At 40.3% G+C, this 19386-nt stretch overlaps 1 protein-coding gene across 4 annotated transcripts in view, besides 1 other annotated feature; it reads left to right on the top strand.

Moving 5' to 3' along the window:
* KIF13A (kinesin family member 13A) overlaps positions 1-19386 on the top strand; it is a 228510-nt gene that overhangs the window by 98766 nt on the left and 110358 nt on the right. For all 4 annotated transcript variants that reach the window (NM_001105568.4, NM_001105567.3, NM_001105566.3 and 1 more), the window contains exon 4: positions 15433-15493. In NM_001105568.4, coding sequence (NP_001099038.1) covers positions 15433-15493 — 61 coding nt within the window. The remainder of the gene's footprint in view (positions 1-15432; positions 15494-19386) is intronic.
* Positions 3958-4252: a silencer, noted in NCBI's record as "tiled region #4275; HepG2 Repressive non-DNase unmatched - State 7:EnhWF". NCBI's record gives its function as "represses a minimal TATA promoter and a strong SV40 promoter by Sharpr-MPRA in HepG2 cells {active_cell/tissue: HepG2}" and the evidence as "EXISTENCE:reporter gene assay evidence [ECO:0000049][PMID:27701403]".

Here is a 19386-nt window from a genome sequence, read left to right as displayed (position 1 = left end):
TTTTATATTAAATTATTTCATCTCTTTTTACTTTTTTGTTTTTTTGAGATAGGGTCTCACTCTGTCACCCAGGCTGGAGTGCAGTGGCACAGTCTCGGCTCACTGCAACCTCCACCTCCTAGGTTCAAGCAATTCTCTCACCTCAGCCTTCCAAGTAGGTGGGACTACAGGCCTGTGCCACCACGCCCAGCTAATTTTTGTATTTTTTGGTAGAGACAGGGTTTCACCATGTTGGCCAAGCTGGTCTCGAACTCCCGGCCTCAAGTGATCTGCCCGCTTTGGCCTCCCAAAGTGCTGGGATTACAGGCATAAGCCACCATGGTTGGCCTCTTTTACTTTTCAGTGTGTCTACAAAAACATTTTAAATTATTTATATGGCTAGCATTATATTTCTATGGGACAGCTCTGTTTCAGATCAAACCCATGGCTTAGTACTGAACACCAGTATACTTCCTAAGGCTTTTGCTTGTTTCATTACCCAGTCAAATGCAGCAGACCTACCTTGATCTTTTACATTTTTACTTTTATATCTGGGTCCAGGAGTGTTGCAGCTGCATGAACTCAATGACAGCATAACCTTCTCACTATACGTTTTTCCTAGGAATTGTTTCCTAGGCTCAAGAGTGACTAAACTAGTAGTTTTTGTTTTCTAGAATTCATAACATGATAAGGAAGATTAGATATACTATAATCTAAGTAGTGGAAAATAGATTATGGTAACATCATCATTCACTACTTCAGTACTTTGTGTCTTGTGTCTTCTGAGGAAGAAGGCTTCATAGCTAAACATGGAACTTCAGGAGGCCTGCAAGTATGGATAGGGTGTCAAAGTGCAGAAATTTAGGATAAGAATCAAGATGCAGGGGCTGGGCCCAGTGGCTCACACCTGTAATCCTAGCACTTTGGGAGGCTGAGGCAGACGGATCACCTGAGGTCAGGAGTTCGAGACCAGCCTGGCCAATATGGCAAAACCCCATCTCTACTAAAAATACAAAAAAAAAAAAAAAAATTAGCTGGACATGGTGGTGGGTGCCTGTAATCCCAGCTACTCGGGAGGCTGAGGCAGGAGAATTGCTTGAACCTGGGAGGCAGAGGTTGCAGTGAGCCGAGATCCTGCCACTGCACTGTAGCCTGGGCAACAAGAGCGAGACTCTGACTCAAAAAAAGAATCAAGATGTATGTAAAGGAAGACAAACAAGAAAGTAATTGACGTATTAGGAAATAAGTTGCACACTCTGGTTAAAGTGTAGAGTACATGAAAGGAAGATCGTGTTTTAAAAAACTGGGAGAATGTAGTTTATAGAGCATTGGGAGTCTGGACTTAATCTGGTAGGCTATGAAGATCATTTAGGATCTTTATATAGAAAAGCTACATGATCAGAACTGTGCTTGCAAGAAATTCATACGGCTGCAAGATAGAAGATAATTGATAAGTATAGAATGTAGGGTGGATAATAATCTAGGTTCATTTTAAAGGAACTGCCTTGTGTGTGAACCTGCTTATGCTCCGTGATGCAACAGTAACAACCTTAAATGTTCAATGGCTAGAAACAACGAAAATATATTTCCCTGATGTTACATGTCAGCCGAGGTTCCCTGTGGCTGTATACCATATGACTTCAATCTGGGCTCCAGATTGAAGGAACAACCCCTATCTGGGACTTGCTAATACTGTGACAGAGGGGAACAAAGAAAGAGAACTGTGCAGTGGCTTCTTAAAGCTGTTGCCCAGACTGGCATATGTCACTTTGTTCATACTTAATTGGCCAAAGCAAGTCACACAGCTAAGCCTGATGTCAGTATGGTGAGGAATTGTATTCCTTCCTACTACAGGCACTGCATGTCATGTGGCAATAGGCAGGGATGTGTAATTCCCTTACCAGGAGGGCCAGGAATCATTTGGAACAGTAATGCAATATACCACACTTTGTCATTATAAATCATCCTTCTAAAAATTTCCCAAGACTTTTTTTTTTTTCCTCTTTTTAACAACGACAACAAAACAATCCTCAGAAACATAGGGTGGTGGTGGTGGTTGTTAGTAGTTGTGGTTGTTGTTGTTGTTTTGAGATGGAGTTTCGCCCTTGTTGCCCAGGCTGGAGTGCAATGGCATGATCTTAACTCACTGCAACCTCCACCTCCCGGGTTCAAGTGAAGTGCTGTGTGTTTCTATCTTGAAATTCCTACAGGTTCTACTCTCCCCTTTCCTTCTGCCCGACTTTGTTCAGAACCAAATGTTCTCACTGGAACTCTGTGCCTTTAGATGTCTACAGTACCACTGACGGAGTACCAGGTCACATGGAGTATAGGCCCCAGGAAGAAAAGATATCCATCTCCCTTGTCTCTTGGTGTTGATCCATCTCCCTGTCTAGAATAGTGAAAGCCTTCTGGACCAGGGAGTCTCTTGGCTCCCACTTGGCCCGAGTCAGCCGCAGCAGTGTGAACTCTTCATCAGTCCTTTGCAGCGTAACTTAACTGGGAGTAAATGTTTGCAACCCCTGGACTGCCTCAGGTCCTTTAGCTTTGGTGACCTGGGGCCATGGAGTCAGCCTAGCATTCTCCTCTCTGTGGCTCTATGTACCTGGCATGGTGCAGTGAGGCAGAGGGGACTGGAGAGATAGGCACAAGAAATGAGGTCTTGGTCCAGAAGTTCTGAGCCAGACCCAGAGATTGCTCATGGTGGGTGATATTAGCATGACTCAGATTTAATCTAGGTTTTATTTTTCTTCTCATTTTTATGAGTAACAATAATCATTTATCAGAGATAGCAGATAGGATCTGATAGCAGATGCTTAGACATTTGCAACTTATCTTTTGGACTGTTTTTATTGAAGAAGAAGTATTCTGTGTTTGAAAATATCCACATCACCTTTGAATGTGCTGTTGAAGAAGTTATTTGGGTGGCTAGGTTTTTTGAGAAGTGATCAGGATATGAAAGAACTGGAAATACCACAGATTGTGCATTTGTGACACTCCGACCCCCACTCCTCAGCCACCAGTGAAGCGGATTTTGAAAATGAATGATAGAGGATTAAATATGAAATGAGTAGAGTATTTGAAAGAGTTAGAACTGAATTAGTGCTTCATTGCTTATGCACCACTAGTTTATGTGTGCAGTGTTAAATGGAAGCTCTGTGCTGTTATAATATTGGTCTGGGTTTTGGGAGGATGATTTCCTGTTTTCAGATTTATTCATTAAATGAATGAAAGCATGAATTAGCTCTTTGTAGAGATACCTTCTCCTTGCATCCATAGAAATTTGAACTGCAATGCAGAGTAGTATTTTCCAAGGATAGTTGTTTTCTAGAACAGACCGTGCATTCCCTGAGATCAGGGACAATGCCTTGTAGATGTGCAGCAAATGCTGTTGGCTTTGAATCTTTAAGAGGCTTTCACATCTTCACAATCAGTCCATGCCGACTGTAATGCAAGACATTATTTGGTATGTATCTATAGGCATATGTAAAGGAAATGATTAATTACATTGCCAAAAGACAGCTGTTACTTGACATATGTTTAAATGGGAAGGTAGATCTGTCAATAAAACTCACCAGTAATAAGGGTGATGACTCTAGCATTCCTTAGGAGATGTGTTCAGATACATGCTGGAGTTCCTCCTGGCAGAGCTGCTTTTAGAAAAGCAGTAGTGAAGGCAGTTCTGTGATCACACAGGCTCTTGGTGCTGGGGTTTCCTTTCAGTTTCAGTCCAGTTCCTCTGAGATGAATGAAGTTTAACTCTTCCTTTTTTTCTTTTATGAATCTTCACAACTTTGATATCAGGAGAAAGATGAAAAAGAGAAAAGCATTGAAACTTGGCATTAAAAGAAAAATTTGAACATGAAGTGAAATCTAGAACTTTACTTGGTATGACTCAGTGCTCATAACATGGTGTGGTGAAATGTGAACACATTTGAAGTGTCGCTTTCATATTAATTGTAGTCTTTCAAATTGACAAAGTTGAAAACCACAAAACAGGACATTGGCAAGCTAATGTTCCTAAAACTGGAGAAATGGGGCTTTTCAGAGAGCTCTGGGGCTCAGTTTTCAAAGTAGATAGTGGCAGAACAGGCTGTTAATGGCAGCTGGGTCTGCAGATGTGAACAGCGGATTAATTGTACAAAGAGAGGAAGAAGGCAGTGTAGAGGAGAGGACACACTCCTTCATACAAAGCAAAGCAAGTCCACATAGAGCAGACTTTTTTCCCCAAGGGAAGCCCTTTTGATTTTAGATTTGGGCGCTAGGAAGTAGTGTGTTTTGCATTGATATTTTTGACACAGAACCAAACAGTCTGTAGCAACTCCCACACACATGGCCTTTTTTGCCTTTTCACTTCTCTTTCTATTTAATTCAGCAAATACTGAGTACCCATCTACACTATCCTGTACCTAGAGAGAATAAAGATGAGTTAGCACAGTCCCTGGCTCAGAAAACCTTCCAGCTTGGTGAGAATATAAAGTATTTAGGTTGGTGCCTGGTACATAACAAACGCTCTACAGCAGTAGCTATGCTATTAATGGGGGAGCGAAGTCCATCAGTACATAATGATAATATTGATAACAGTAGCTGCCATAGACTGAATTTCACTGTGTGCCAAGCATTATCTTAGTAGGTATTCCATTTATGTTACCACAATCCCAAATTAATGTAAAATGTGCAGTTACTTAGGTAGATGAGTGTGTGTTAGAGAGGGAGAGCTGTTGGCTAAGACAGCCCAGAGGAGGCAATAATTATAGGGAGGAAGTTGAGAAAACATTGGAGGAGGTGACATTTGAGCAGGTCTTGAGTAGTGTGAGTTGTACTTCACTGGGCAGGGAGGCAAGGTGAGGAAAGGCAGAGAATTACAGGAAGGAGAAATTCCCTCATAGTTCTACATTCCTTTCTCTTTTTTTGTTATTATTATGATTTCCTTCTCTTTTTTTGTTAATATTATTATTTCCTTTTAGCAATGGGATCTCACTAGGTTGTCCAGGCTGGAGTGCAGTGGCTATTCACAGGTGTGATCATAGCTCATTGCAGCCTCAAACTCCCAGGCTCAAGTGATCCTCCCACCTCAGCCTCACAAGCAGCTGGGACTGCAGGTGCATACCATTGCACCTGGCTCTCCCCTTCCTTCTTCTTTTCCCTAGACATCTCACTGTGTTCAATATACCCAAAGGATTTCTTGATCATTGGTGGAATCTCTCAGAGCTGAGAAGTTGGCTGACCATTGACGTAATATACAGATGAATAGGGTCATTTCTTATGTCTTTTTGGGAAAGCAGTGGGAATCCAGTAAACACAAAAATAATGCCTGTAGGGTGACACCAGTCTGTTACTGTGGCAGTTGAAGTAAAAATGGAGGCTTTGGCAAAGTATCGTTGGGGTGCTGCTATCCTGGCTGTGCCACTGAAGGATTTACACTGACTGATCTGTGCTATTTTAAGCAGATGTCACATGTGAAAACAGATTTACATGATTGATTAAGAGGTAGTTAGTTCACCAGGAAGTTGCCTTATTTTTTTTTATTATTTTTATTTTATTTTTTAGAGACAGTCTTGCTCTGTGACCCAGGCTGGAGTGCAGTGACATGATCACAGCTCACTGCAGGCTTAAACTTCTGGGCTCAAGCAGTCCTCTTGCTTCAGCCTCCTGAGTATCTGGGACTATAGGCACATGCCCCTGCAGCTGGCTAATGTTATTTTTTGTAGAGACTATGTTGCCCAGGCTGGTCTTGAACTCTTGGCTTCAAGTGATCCTTCAGTCTCAGCCTCTCAAAACACTGGGATTATAGGCATGAGCCACCATACCCAGCAAAAGTTGCTTTAAAATGTAAATTCGCCGAGTATTTTTGGTAATGAAAAGATTAGGGAAACCAAGGCTTTATCCTCTAAGAATTAATATTGTAGCAGAACAAAGGGAATTGTATATAAATAGATGTATACATATATATACACACATACAGAATCTGATTAGACAGATATGGAAATTCAGGATAATGAGAAATAGTATCCTTAAAAGTTTTATAAGCAGGCCGGGTGCCGTGCCGCACGCCTTTAATCCCAGCACTTTGGGAGGCCAAGGTAGGCAAATCACTTGAGGTCAGAAGTTCAAGACCAGCATGGCCAGCATGGTGAAACTCCATCTCTACTAAAAATACAAAAATTAGCCAGGCGTGGTAGTGGGCAGCTGTAGTCCCAGCTACTCAGGAGGCTGAGGCAAGGGAATCGCTCGAACCTGGGAGGCAGAGGTTGTGCTGAGCTGAGATCATGCCACTACGCTCCAGCCTGGGCGACAGAGCAAGACTCCATCAAAAAAAAAAAAAAATTTATAAAGGAGTGACATTTGAGATGACATTAAAAGGAAACAAATTAAAAGGGGGTAGGTTTTGGCTCACTTTGCAAAAATCTGATGTATATGTCCAGAAATATTTCTTTACATAAAATTAAATTATCTTGACATAATAAATATTAATCACTTTGTGTCTGAGGAGGGTTTCTGAGAGGTATTAAAATGATTTTAGGGAAAAAAATTACTTTTCTTAGAAAAAGAATACTTGTTTTGTGTTTTGCCTTTTTAACTAGACTGTAAGCAAGAGGATACAAACATGCCTAGTACATACTTGAGTTCCCTGTAGCCCCTAAAATTGAAAAAGGTAACAAGTGGGTGTTAGTTTATTGCTTTCCAGATTGACCATTTTGCAGTTGGAGAACATATTAGTGAAAGCACACAACTCGAAAGGACAAATGAAAGGATACAGAGATAATGCAGTTGAAAGCACCTTCACATCTCGTTTTTATGGATCAGAAAAATGGTTACAGATTACATATCTTAAAACACAGATGCCTTCTGGTTCTGCAGGGAACATAGAAGATCTTACTTCTTTTTTTATTTTTTTGAGACAGAGTCTTGCTCTGTTGCCCAGGCTGGAGTGCAGTGGCACAATCTCAGCTCACTGCAACCTCAGTCTCCCGGGTTCAAGCATTTCTCATGCCTCAGCCTCCCGAGTAGCTGGAATAACAGGCACATGCCACCATACCCAGCTAATTTTTGTATTTTCAGTAGAGACAAGGTTTCACCATGTTGGCCAGGAGGGTCTCAAACTCCTGATCTCAAGTAATCCGCCTGCCTCCACCTCCCAAAGTGCTAGGGTTACAGCCGTGAGCCCTGTGCCTGGCCATTGCTGCTGCTTTTTTTTGAGACACAGTCTAGCTCTGTCGCCAGGCTGGAGTGCAGTGGCGCAATCGCAGCTCACTGCAACCTCCGCTTCCTGAGTTCAAGTGATTCTCCTGCCTCAGCCTTCCGAGTAGCTGGGATTACAGGCGTGCACTGCCGCACCCAGCTAATTTTTGTATATTTAGTAGAGACAGGGTTTCACCATATGTTGGCCAGGATGGTCTCGATCTCCTGACCTCATAAGCCACTGTGCCTGGCCTTTTTTTTTTTTTTTAACTGTAAATTGACTTTTGCTGAAATGCCATCAGAGATGACTTTTAAGTAAAAGTGGAGTTTAACTGTACTACATCCTATTCGTAAGTCATGGAACTTCATTACCTCAGATTATATATATCTCTCAACACATTTGCCTTATTAAAAACAGCTTTAGTAACTTTATTAGATGTTCAGTGGTTCACAAAAATGCAAAGCTAACATTTTTAAGAGCCTGATAAAGGTGGAGCAGATGTACCACAAGCTGCAGGGAATTAAATCCTGGTATGAGTTTTATAAGTTGCAAACTAAGAGGAAGGAGTGGGATTCTGAGAAGGTGGAGTCAAATTTTGTTGAAAACAGTGAAGGCAATAGCTTTCAGATTTCAAAAACGACTACAAAACATCTATGCTTTTGGCTGTTTTTTCCGTTGAAAAGCTATGAATGCCTTTGCAAAAAAAATGTTCTCACAATGTTGGCTCTTATTGATAAAATGTAAAATTTATACTTGGTTGGCATTTTGTTGTTTTACTCAGCTGTATGCATTAAGAAGTCTGCTGGGCCAGGTACAGTGGCTCAGCACTTTGGGAGGTCGAGGTGGGAGAATTGCTTGGGGTCAGGAGTTCGATACTAACTTGGGCAATGTTGCAAGACCCCATCTTTGCAACAACAGCAAAATTAGACAAGTATGGTGGCATGTGCCTGTAGTCCTAGCTACTCGGGAGGCTGCTTGAGCCCAGGAGTTTGAGGTTACAGTGAACTGTGATTGCCTCAAGCCCCACTGCAGTCTCTGGCCTGGACAACAGAGCAAGACCTTTTTTTTTTTTTTTTTTTTTTTGAGACAGAGTCTCGCCCTGTCACCTGGGCTGGAGTGCAATGGTGCGATCTTGGCTCACTGCAACCTCCGCCTCCTGGGTTCAAATGATTCTCCTATCTCAGCCTCCCAAGTAGCTGGGATTACAGGTGCGTGCCTCCACGCTTGGCTAATTTTTTGTATCTTTAGTAGAGATGGGGTTTCACCATGTTGGTCAGGCTGCTCTTGAACTCCTGACCTCAGGTGATCCGCCCGCCTTGGCCTCCCAAAGTGCTGGGATTACAGCTGTGAGCCACTGAGCCTGGCCCAATTAGAAGTCTTAAATAACATTTTTCTAGTATAATATGGTGGGTTTGCAAAAAATAAGACTTTATTTTTCTTCAGTCATCGGTTTCTGGCCAGCCATGGTGGTTCATAACTGTAATCCCAGCACTTTGGGAAGCCAAAGCAGGAAGATCACTTGAGGCTAGGAGAATTCGAGACTAGCTTGGGCAACACAGCGAGCCCCCATCTCTACAAAAAATAACAATTAGCTGGGCATGGTGGCATGCGCCTGTAGTCCCAGCTACTCTTGGGAGGATCGCTTGAGCTGGGAGGTTGAGGCTGCAGTGAGCTATGACCATGCCACTGCATTCCAGCCTAGGTGACAGAGCAAGACCCTCTCTCTAAAATAAAGTTTTTAAAAAATTAGAAAAAAACAAAGTAGTCAGTTTCCAAGGAATAAGTCTTGAGAAATTGGTTTTCTCCCTTTTGAAATGTCAATGTATTTTGTATGGGAAAATCAAAACTACTGTAAAGACCTAAGAAAAGCATGTCTCCTTTTGTAACAAACCTTGTGTTATTCATATAATTACATTTTGGCATGAAAGGAAGGGTAATAGTTTGTAAATAGTTTATGGAACTAACAAGAGATTGCAAGGGAAATGTCAAGGACATGACAAAGGAATTAATTTAAACATCTTTAAAACTGCATTAGTAACGGCCATAATTTTTCTAGTGACAGTCAAACAAATAAATGTTCTAATTTCTGTGCAGACTACAAATTGTGCATGATATGCCCTTGCTTGTTTATCCACCTGAACCATGGAATAATGATGCTGAAGGGGACCCCAGTGCTCATCTAGTGACCGAATCCTTATTTGACCATTGCAGGAATCAAGTTCCCCCAAACCATGCATGTGAAAGTAATGAAACATCTAAAAATATATCCTGCAGCTTGAACCTCTGCTTACTCATAATAGTTCTTACATCCACTCCATGCTCTTGTCTGTGTTCCAACTCCTTCCCCTGGTAATATGTTTATTAATTGAAAAAATATTACATACAGTGCCTGCCCTGTATGAAATACTGAAACAGGCACTATGGGGTGCATGGAACATAGTTCCTGCTGCCATGGAGCTCACCATTTAGATTTGGAAGTAAGACCCACACAGAAGAACCAAGGCATAAAACAGGACCGTATGTAAATCAGTGTCAAGGGAGCTACAAACTGCTGTAAAATTTCATAGGAGGGAAAGGGGATTGGGAGATCACTTCCAGCTGAGAAAAGAATACAACAAAAATTTTTCTATTCACTTGCTTTGAGTTTTAGGGAAATCATGTAGATTTCTGGACTTCAGCTTTCTTCCTAGTAAATGTTTAATAAAATAACAACCTATACTCCAAGACTGGTTTGAGGTATCACCATTCTAAAATGCCTGTGATCAGAGATTTTGAAATTCAAGACATAATGCAGTTCAAAGGGTGCTGCTCTTTGGCAAGCAAAGAACAGTTGTATCTATCAGTATTGTTAGGACTCTTTTCATCTGCAGGGTTTTAATATTTGTCTGAATTCTAGGGGGCAAATGCTTAAAATGAAAATGGTCTCGTGCCCTTTTATTGGCAAAAACAACTTTAAATGATTAACTCTTTGATTGTTAGAAGTTTTCACAGACTTTGGAATAATTCTTACTGACAGGTAGACCCTCAAAATTTGGGGTAGATCTCTTTTATTTTAAGTAGCATTACTATGAATGTAAATGTCTAGCTTTCTAACTTTATTTGAAGAATAGCAAATTGTTAAATTAAGTTTGACCTGGATGCAGTGGCTCATGCCTGTAATACCACACTTTGGGAAGCCAAGACAGGAGGATCGCTTGATCCCAGAAGTTAAGACCAGCCTTGGCAACACAACATGACCCTGTCTCTATAAAGAAAACAAAAATGAAAAAAAAAAAAAAAGTTAGAGGTAGGCATGAAAAATTAACATGTAGAAAATAAATTATTATTCCACTACATATAGCAATAACTGAAGAAGTGAATAAATGATTATTCCACTATATATAACAATAACTGTGTTCAAAACACAGTCCTTGAACACACAGGCACTCTCTGCCCCAGTGCCTTTGCACCTGCTATTCCATCTGGCTGTCATGCTTTTCCACAGGCTTTCATAGGACCTGCTCCAGTTTTTTCCAGTGCCCCCTTGCTGTTACATTTTTGTGTCACTGATTACCTCCTGGCGTCATATGTGTTTATTGGTTGCTTGCATATTGCTTCTCTCCCTTCACCTCACTGGGAGCTTCATAAGGGACATGAATAATATAAGTATTACTACAGATAATGCAAGTAATAGGATACTCATGAGCTCCACGAGTCTTTGCATGTTTTTTGACTGCTATAATTCTAGCGCTTAGCACACAATAGGTACTCAATAAATATTTGTGAATGGATAAGTGAATTAATGAATTAGATGGCTACTACTAGGCCTGATTTGTAGTCATGCTCAGTAAATACTGACTGCAAATTTTTTTAGTGCAGAAACCAGAAGTTATTGAAAGCAGCACAGAATGAGGTTGAAAACCAAAGGTTCTTGGTGGGAGGATTTTTTTTTTCTTAATATTTAGGATGACGCATGTCACTGAAATTCACCATGGATCAAGCTTGGGCACAGTGCCCGGGATATAAGAAGGAGAGCGGTAAAGATACTTCAAAAAAAACAAAAAGAAAAGAAAAGAAAGGAAAATAGCCTCTATTGGCTGTTTAAAGTAAGGAGAGTTGACTTAGGTCAAAAGAAAAGGGAAATGTCCTGGAAATAAAAGTTAAGTATTATAAGATGCCATTAAAGGGAGTTTGTGGAATCTCCTTTTCTGGAGATGTTTAAAAACAAGATAGATCATCATCTCTTAGAAGTGTTGAAGTTCAGTCCTACCCAGAGGCAGGAAGATTAACTGGATTACGCCTGTGTGGTCGGTCTCTAGAGTCATTGGAAGAGCCCTTGAATGCAGTAAATATTCCACATTCTCTTGGCTGAAACTATTGTTTCATAACTGTTCATTTGAAACTTGGTTATTATAAAACCAGAGTGAATGTTTGTTTAAGTAACAAAATTGAATTTGGATCTCGGGTTGATGATGTAAGTTGAGTACATCATATATACCTAAATCAGTTTTAAAAACATTAAAATAAAGTATATATAGTGCTGAAACTATTCAGAACATAACTTAGTCTTTTTTTTTTTTTTTTTTTGGCAAGAGAGAGAGAACATTGCGTATAACTTACTAGTCTTTTATAATGTAAAAAAATGCCTGTTTCCCTGCGAGATCTTAATGCCATTAAGTACATCAATAAGTAATTATAAAGTGACTACTATAAACATTGCAGGCTTCAAAGATGAATTCGATATGGATCCTGCTTTCAGGGAACTTAGTCTACAAGTGGAGATGAAACATATATACAGGCCGGGCACAGTGGCTCATGCCTGTAATCCCAGCACTTTGGGAAGCCAAGGTGGGAGGATTGCTTGAACCCAAGAGTTTGATACCAGTCTGGGCAACATGGCGAAGTCCCATCTCTACAAAAAACACAAAAATTAGTTGGGCATGGTGGCATGTGCCTGTAGTCCCAGCTACTCAGGAGGCTGAGGAGGTAGGATCAATTGAGCTGATTGAGGCTGCAGTGAGCCATGATAGTGCCAGTGCACTCCAGTCTGGGCAACAGAGGGAGACCCTGTCTCTGAATGAATGAATGAATGAATGAATGAATGAATGCTGTCTCACACACACAGATCATATACATGATAAATGAAAAATAAAATAATTGAGATAGGAGCCATAAAAAAGGACTAAACAGTGTTGTAAGGTTTCAGAGAAAGAAAAGATGATTCCTTTGGATTTAACCAAGAATGCTTCTGGGAGGAAAAATGTATCGAACTGGGCCTTAAGGGGTATGACGTATTTTGAAGGGTGGAAATGAAGGAGAGAACAAGGACAGAGATGAAATTATACTTAGTAATTCTGAGGTAAGGACAAGTTCCACTGGAGCATGAGGAATTTGGGGTTAATAGGCTGGGAGGGCCTATTGTGGCTAGTCTCAAATGCCAGGCCAAAGAGCATGGGTTCTGTATGCTCAGTGCTTAAGATCTCTTGGAAGTGATTAAGCATTAAAGGATCCTGCCCATGGGAGGTTTGTAATTTGCTGTTTGGACTGCAAGAGATAAAGGGCAATAGCAGTGAGCCCAGGAAGGTAGCTGCTGAGTCACCTGGGCTGCATTTGCTAAGGGATATGCTGAGAAGTAGTAGTTCCAAGGCATGTTAATAAGTGTTAGTCCAAAAAGGGTCTCCTCACCAAAATGAATTGGGGAAATAAAATGTTAAACAATCAAATAGGCTTCTTTCCTGGACTTCATTTCTGAAAAGTCTCTGGAAGACTTTTTAGAGCCTTTAATATTGAGAATTTCATTGAGAATCTCAAATAGGATAAAACGTGCACCACTTCCAACATGATTTGGTCTTTTTTCATGGAGTAGCTCATGAAACTCTGGTTCCTTAGAACACACTTTGGGGAACATTGCTCTACACATTTGATAATAACAGCTGGAACACAAGTGGTGGTAATGGGCATGAAAAACAGCAGTTAGGGCCAGGCATGGTGGCTCACGCCTGTAATCTCAGCACTTTGGGAGGCTGAGGCAGGCAGATCATTTGAGGTCAGGAGTTTGAGTCCACCCTGGCCAACATGGTGAGACCTCGTCTCTACTAAAAATACAAAAATTAGCTGGGCATAGTGGTGCGTGCCTGTAGTCCCAGCTACTTGGGAGGCTGAGGCAGGAGAATTGCTTGAACCCAGGAGGCAGAGGCTGCAGTGAGCTGAGATCATGCCACTGCACTGCAGCCTGGGTGACAGAGTGAGACTCTGTCTCAAAAAAAAAAAAAAAAGGAAAAGAAAAAACAGCAGTTTGATGGGAGTCCTTACAGGGGAAGCACCAAGAAGCACCAGCCATTCCCGGTATATAGTAGGCATTCAGTAGCTATACAGAAAGTTAATTCATGTAAAAGTGAATTAATGATTTCATACCAGTAGATGTTGGTGTGGATGCGGTCAACAGGGAACACTTTTACATTGCTAGTGGAAATGTAAACTAGTACAACCACTATGGAAAACAGTGTGGAGATTCCTTAAAGAACTAAAAGTAGAACTACCATCTGATCCAACAATCCCACTCCTGGGTATCTATCCAGAGGAAAATAAGTCATTATACGAAAAAGATACTTGCACATGCATGTTTATAGTGGCACAGTTCACAATCGCAAAATCGTGGAACCAACCCAAATGTCCATCAGTCAACAAGTGGATAAAGGAACCATGCTGTGTGTGTGTGTGTGTGTGTGCGTGCGTGTGCGTGTGTGTGTGTGTGGTGGAATACTACTTAGCCATAAAAAGGAATGAATTAACGGCATTTGCAGCGACCTGCATGAGATTGGAGACTATTGTTCTAAATGAAGTAATTCAGGAATGGAAAACCAAACGTTGTATGTCCTCACTGATATGTGGGAGCTAAGCTATGAGGACAGAAAGGCATAAGAATGATACAGGGGAGTTTGGGGATTTGAGGGGAAGAGTGGGAGAGGGGCGAGGGATAAAAGACTACAAATATGATGCAGTGTACACTGCTCAGGTGATGGGTGCACCAAAATCTCACAAATCACCACTAAAGAACTAACTCATGTAACCAAATACCACCTGTACCCCAATAACTTATAGAAAAATAAAAAAAGATAAAACATGAAATTAGCCAGGCATGGTGGCGAGCACCTGTAGTCCCAGCTACCCAGGAGGCTGAAGGCAGGAGAATTACTTGAGCCCGGGAGGCAGAGGTTGCGGTGAGCCGAGATCGCACCACTGCACTCCAGCCTGGGCAACAAAGCGAGACTCCAACTCAAAAAAAATTAAAATTTAAAAAATATGAAGAGATACTTTTACATGTAAAAGACATGCCAAATACTAAACATGTAAAATTGCTAAACATGTAAAGTTGCTTCACATCTTTACTTTTCGAGGAATTGTATATTAAAAATACAGTAAGAACCCCCCCCACCACCACCAAAAAACAAAAACAAAAACAAAAACATGCTTTGCTGGAGATTGCCTGCAGAGACAGAAGGGGAAAGGAGTGCAGGATGGGAATATGGAGAGTTTTGAACTTCAGTATGCTACAGATGATATCATGGAAAGCTAGGAGAAGGAACTGCTTTATATGAAAGTTGAGTATTGAGAAGCTGAGGGAGATCGACCTGGAAGGTTCCATGGTTGCTGAAACCATGGACTTGCGAGAGAAGATATTGTTTTTGTTTTTTGTGTTTTCTCATCAGATGTATTGTGGAAAAAAATATCTCGTTAAAATGTCTGGTTATTTGAATTCTAGATAAATAGTAATTTTCATATACAACTTATTCTAATACAGAAAGCTAACCATATATTTAGTCTAAAAGAAATATCATAGGGCCAGGCGCGATGGCTCACACCTATAATCCCAGTACATTTTGGGAGGCAGAAGAGAGAGGATTACTTGAGGCCAGGAGTTCGAGACCAGCCTGAGCAATAGGGCAAGACCTCCTGTCTGCAACAATTTTTTTTTTAATTGCTCGATATGGTGGCATGCACTGGTGGTCCTAGCTACTCAGGAGGCTGAAGCAGGAGGATCCCTTGAGCCCAGGAGTTTGAGGCTTCAGTGAGCTGTGATAGTTCAACTGCACTCCAGCCTGGATGACCCTGTCCCCCAAAAAAGAGGAAAATAAGAAATTTTATGGTTAACAAAAGCACCAAACCTATAGTGATTTTTTTCAGTCAGACAGTAGTGGCCATCCTTCTCATCTTCACCTGTGATTTATTTTAGTCTGATTTACTCATAAGAAGTTAATTAATCTTTAAGTTTAATATTTTGTTCTTTCATTCAGGTATTTGCCTTTGATTATTGCTTTTGGTCCATGGATGAATCTAACACTACAAAATACGCTGGTAAGTTTTCTCCCTCTACACCTGACAGTTGGGCTTCTGGCCTCTTCTTCCATTGAGTTTATTTTCTTTAATTCCTCTGGAGTTTTACTTTCCCTGTGTAATTCACACCTGTTCTTTCCAATTATACCACATGAGTTTTGAAGTCAATAAGATTTGGTTTCAGAATCTGGGTCTGCCACTTACTTGTAAAATCCTTGAACAGATTTTTATTAAGCTTCAAATTGTTCACCTGACCTCCTTGTGGTATTTTATCCTCATTCCATCCAACACAAATGACTGCTGTTTTATAATTTATGACCATAGGCTTTCCTAGGAGTCAGTCACAATTGCTTTAGTTCCAGAGGGAAGCATTTGGTTTGGTGGAGGAAGTTTTTGGTTCTTTTGCTTCTGATTATGCCCCCTTTTTCTTAGATATTTCATCTTTTTAAAAATTTATTTTTCGTCCGGGCATGGTGGCTCACATCTGTAATCCCAGCACTTTGGGAGGCCGAGGTGGGCGGATCACTTGAGGTCAGGAGTTCAAGACCAGCTTGAATAACATAGCAAAACCCCGTCTCTACTAAACATACAAAACTTATTCAGGTGTGGTGGTGGGCGCCTGTAATCCCAGCTACTTGGGAGGCTGAGGCGGGAGAATGCCTTGAGCCCAGGAGGCAGAGGTTGCAGTGAGCCGAGGTCCCACCACAGCCTAGGTGACCGAGTGAGACTCTGTCTCAAAAAAATAAAAAAAAATTATTTTTCTAACTGGCAAATGAAAGTTGCATATATTTATCATGTACAGTGTGATGTTTTGAAATATGTATATATTATGGAATGGCTAAATTGAGCTAATTAACACATGCTTTACCTCATGAACTTATCCTTTTTTGTGGTAAGAACACTTAAAGTCTACTCAGTTAGCAATTTTCAGGAATACAGTACGTTGTTATTAACTATAGTCACCGTGTTGTACAATAGAGCTCGTGAACTATTTCTTCCTACTGAGTGTTTTCTCCTTATTTCTACTTATAAGAGCATCAGCTGAATGACATTCTCAGTTAGTTAAAAACAAAAAAATGAAGGGAGGATATTGGCCTTAAAAGATTTGGAGGTAAAAGCACATGACTAGTTTAAAGAAAATTAATGTTTTGTTTATTGATAGGTTTTTCCTTGCCATATAAAGCAAACTTGAGAAATTGTTTGATAACATAATTTTTTCAAGAGTTAACAATCTTGGACTAGGAGAATTCCTTCAGTTGCTCACACTGGGTAAATTAGCCTTTCCAAATATCATTCCTACAACTTGAGCAATATATTTTATTAAAGTGAGTAAGTAGTTCATAATGTTGGTTGTAATTAATTTGTCTTTTTATCAGTCCTTTGGGACTTTATGTAATAAGTTCTTCAGAGTCTGGAACAGTCTTGACTTGTTAGCACTCTGTATTTTTGTGCCGGGTGTGTACTTTTAGATTTAAATCAACAACAAAAGTAAAACATTTCCTACAGATGCAGAGACAAATGGGGATAAATGCTATGGTTATACAAACCCGTCATTAACCGTGTTCAATTTATGTTACTCAAGATGCAGCCATATATATCTTCCTGAACTGGAGCTCTTCTCATGCACTTCTCAGATACTTTCCAGGACTCCTCATCACATGCTAGAAAAAATCTATACTCTTTGGACTACATTTGAGGTCCTTTATTATATAACCCCATTCTACCTTCTCCACTGTCTCTTCTGGGACTCCTCTCACCACTCATTCAGTGCCTCAGCCCAGTGTCTGTTGTTGGTTCCTCTCATATAACTCAGGAAGCCAGAAAGTCTCACAATAATTTTTTAAGTATTCATGACTCCCCCCCCAACCCACTGTGTGTGTGCAGCCCATGAAGCCCTTGAGAAATCCAAAAATAAGTTAGAAAGCAAAAGAAATGCATACCAAATAACATTTTGAGATAATATTTAAACTCTAAATTTTATAGATTTTAAGTGTTACATAAAATCCAAGGAGAGATAAAATCTGGAAAGGCACCAGATTTTAAAGAGAAAGAGAAAAGGCACCAGATTTTAAAGAGAGAAAATCTGGAAAGGCACCAATTGTCTGGGAAGGCACCAGAGAGCAGATGGAACATAGAGGAGATAAGTATTTGAGACAACACATACATTAAATCGCCTGATTCAGCCATTCCACAAGGGATACATATATCAGAACATCATGTTGTATACCATAAATATATATGATTATTACTTGTCAACATATGAGTTGTTTAGAGTTTAGTCAAAGGGAAGCCTAGAAGGCATCCAGACAAGAGGAAGTGACATGTGTCAAGGAGAGCACATGGATTTTGACGTGAGACCTGTGTTTGAATTTCAGGACCTCTGCCTTGGTTCTCTTGGACAATTTACTTAATTTCTCTGAGCTACAATTTGTTTTCTATGGAAGAAAGTAAAAATGGCAATACCTATGCTATGTGGTTGCTGTAAGGGTTAAATAGGTCACTTTATGTGCTGATTAATGGAAGGTTCCCGTAAATGATATTTTCATTTGACTTTTCCGTAAAGGAAGATACAGAGCCATGGTGGTAATGCTGGTCTGAGCAGAAGGTATATCTTGGCGGGGGGGAACCCAGCTGCAAAGTTAAGATTAAAAAAGAAAGAAAGAAAAATAAGAAGATGCATCTTGTTGGGGATGCGATGGGAGACCTATTTGTACATGTTGAATGAGGCCAGATAATAGGAAATTCTAAGAACTTCAGACTAATATGGTGAAAAATAGGGGCTATTGGAGTGAGGTGGTTAAAATAATGCTTAAGGAAGATTGTTTTTCTCTTTCTTTTCCATATCTTCTGGAATCACATCCTCCATTATTGCCCACAGAGAACACTCTAGCCTTCTGCAATATATCACTCATGTGCCTGGATGTGCAACAAACTTTTTTTTTTTCAAACCAGAAATGACTTCATTACATACAGATGATAAAATTTAGTTGTGAAACTCAAGATTTCTGTAGCTCTTCATTACAGATAGTTCAGATATATTTTAAAAGATCAAAATGATTTTTAAACATACTGATAGCCTAAAATTTAGTAAATTTTAGGTTGCATGATCACATTGAGTACCATGTCCCAGTTAGCCCTGAAATTGGCTTCTGCCAGCTCATAGAGCACTGTCTACTTAAAAAATTTGGGAGGATATTTTCTTATTCTTCAGATATTCCCATTATCATACAAATACTATGATGCTCCTTCTCCTTAGCAAAAGGTAAAATTCATGCTTACTATTCTCTCAAGTTTACATCTATTGTAAATAATCTGCCTAGTAAATACGTTACGTGTAGATTAGTTGATGGTTTCCATACTAATTTTTCTCTTCATTAAAAAATAACAATTCCTTCTTAATTGGGAATAAAAACATTAAGATAGAAGCATTCATTATCTGGTGGAAAACAGGGGAAGTGGAGAAGGGGAAGCACATATTTCCTGAAACCGACCTATTTGTCAGGCTCGATGAATAATGGCATCATTGATACTGATCAGGACTCTCAAAGCCGCTCTCAAAACTGGGGGGTAGCAGGGAGAGAGACAGAGAAAGATAAGTGCATGGATTGAGAAAGCAAAGAGAAGCAAGGGCTCTTAAGTTTTGTGTGGTGTGTCAAAATGTTAAATTCTCAATCATGTCTTGCTATTTATTAAAAGCTATAGGAAGAGCCTCCACGCTCCCACTTTCTGATTTAGAAACACGTAATTCTCTAGTGGGGGTATAATGGCATTGTAGTGGGTTGGTTGGAGCAGTTGAAGAATATGGGCTCTTAAGTCAGACTTGGTTCAAATCCTGGCTCTAACACCTTCTATCTGTGTAAGGCCGGGTGAGTTACTGAATCTCACGATCCTTCTGTTTCCTCATATGGTAAATA

The sequence above is a fragment of the Homo sapiens genome, chromosome 6, assembly GCF_000001405.40.
Source record: "Homo sapiens chromosome 6, GRCh38.p14 Primary Assembly".
Lineage (NCBI taxonomy): Eukaryota > Metazoa > Chordata > Mammalia > Primates > Hominidae > Homo > Homo sapiens.
Note: the sequence above shows the minus strand (reverse complement) of the source record. Positions and strands in the feature narration are given on the sequence as shown.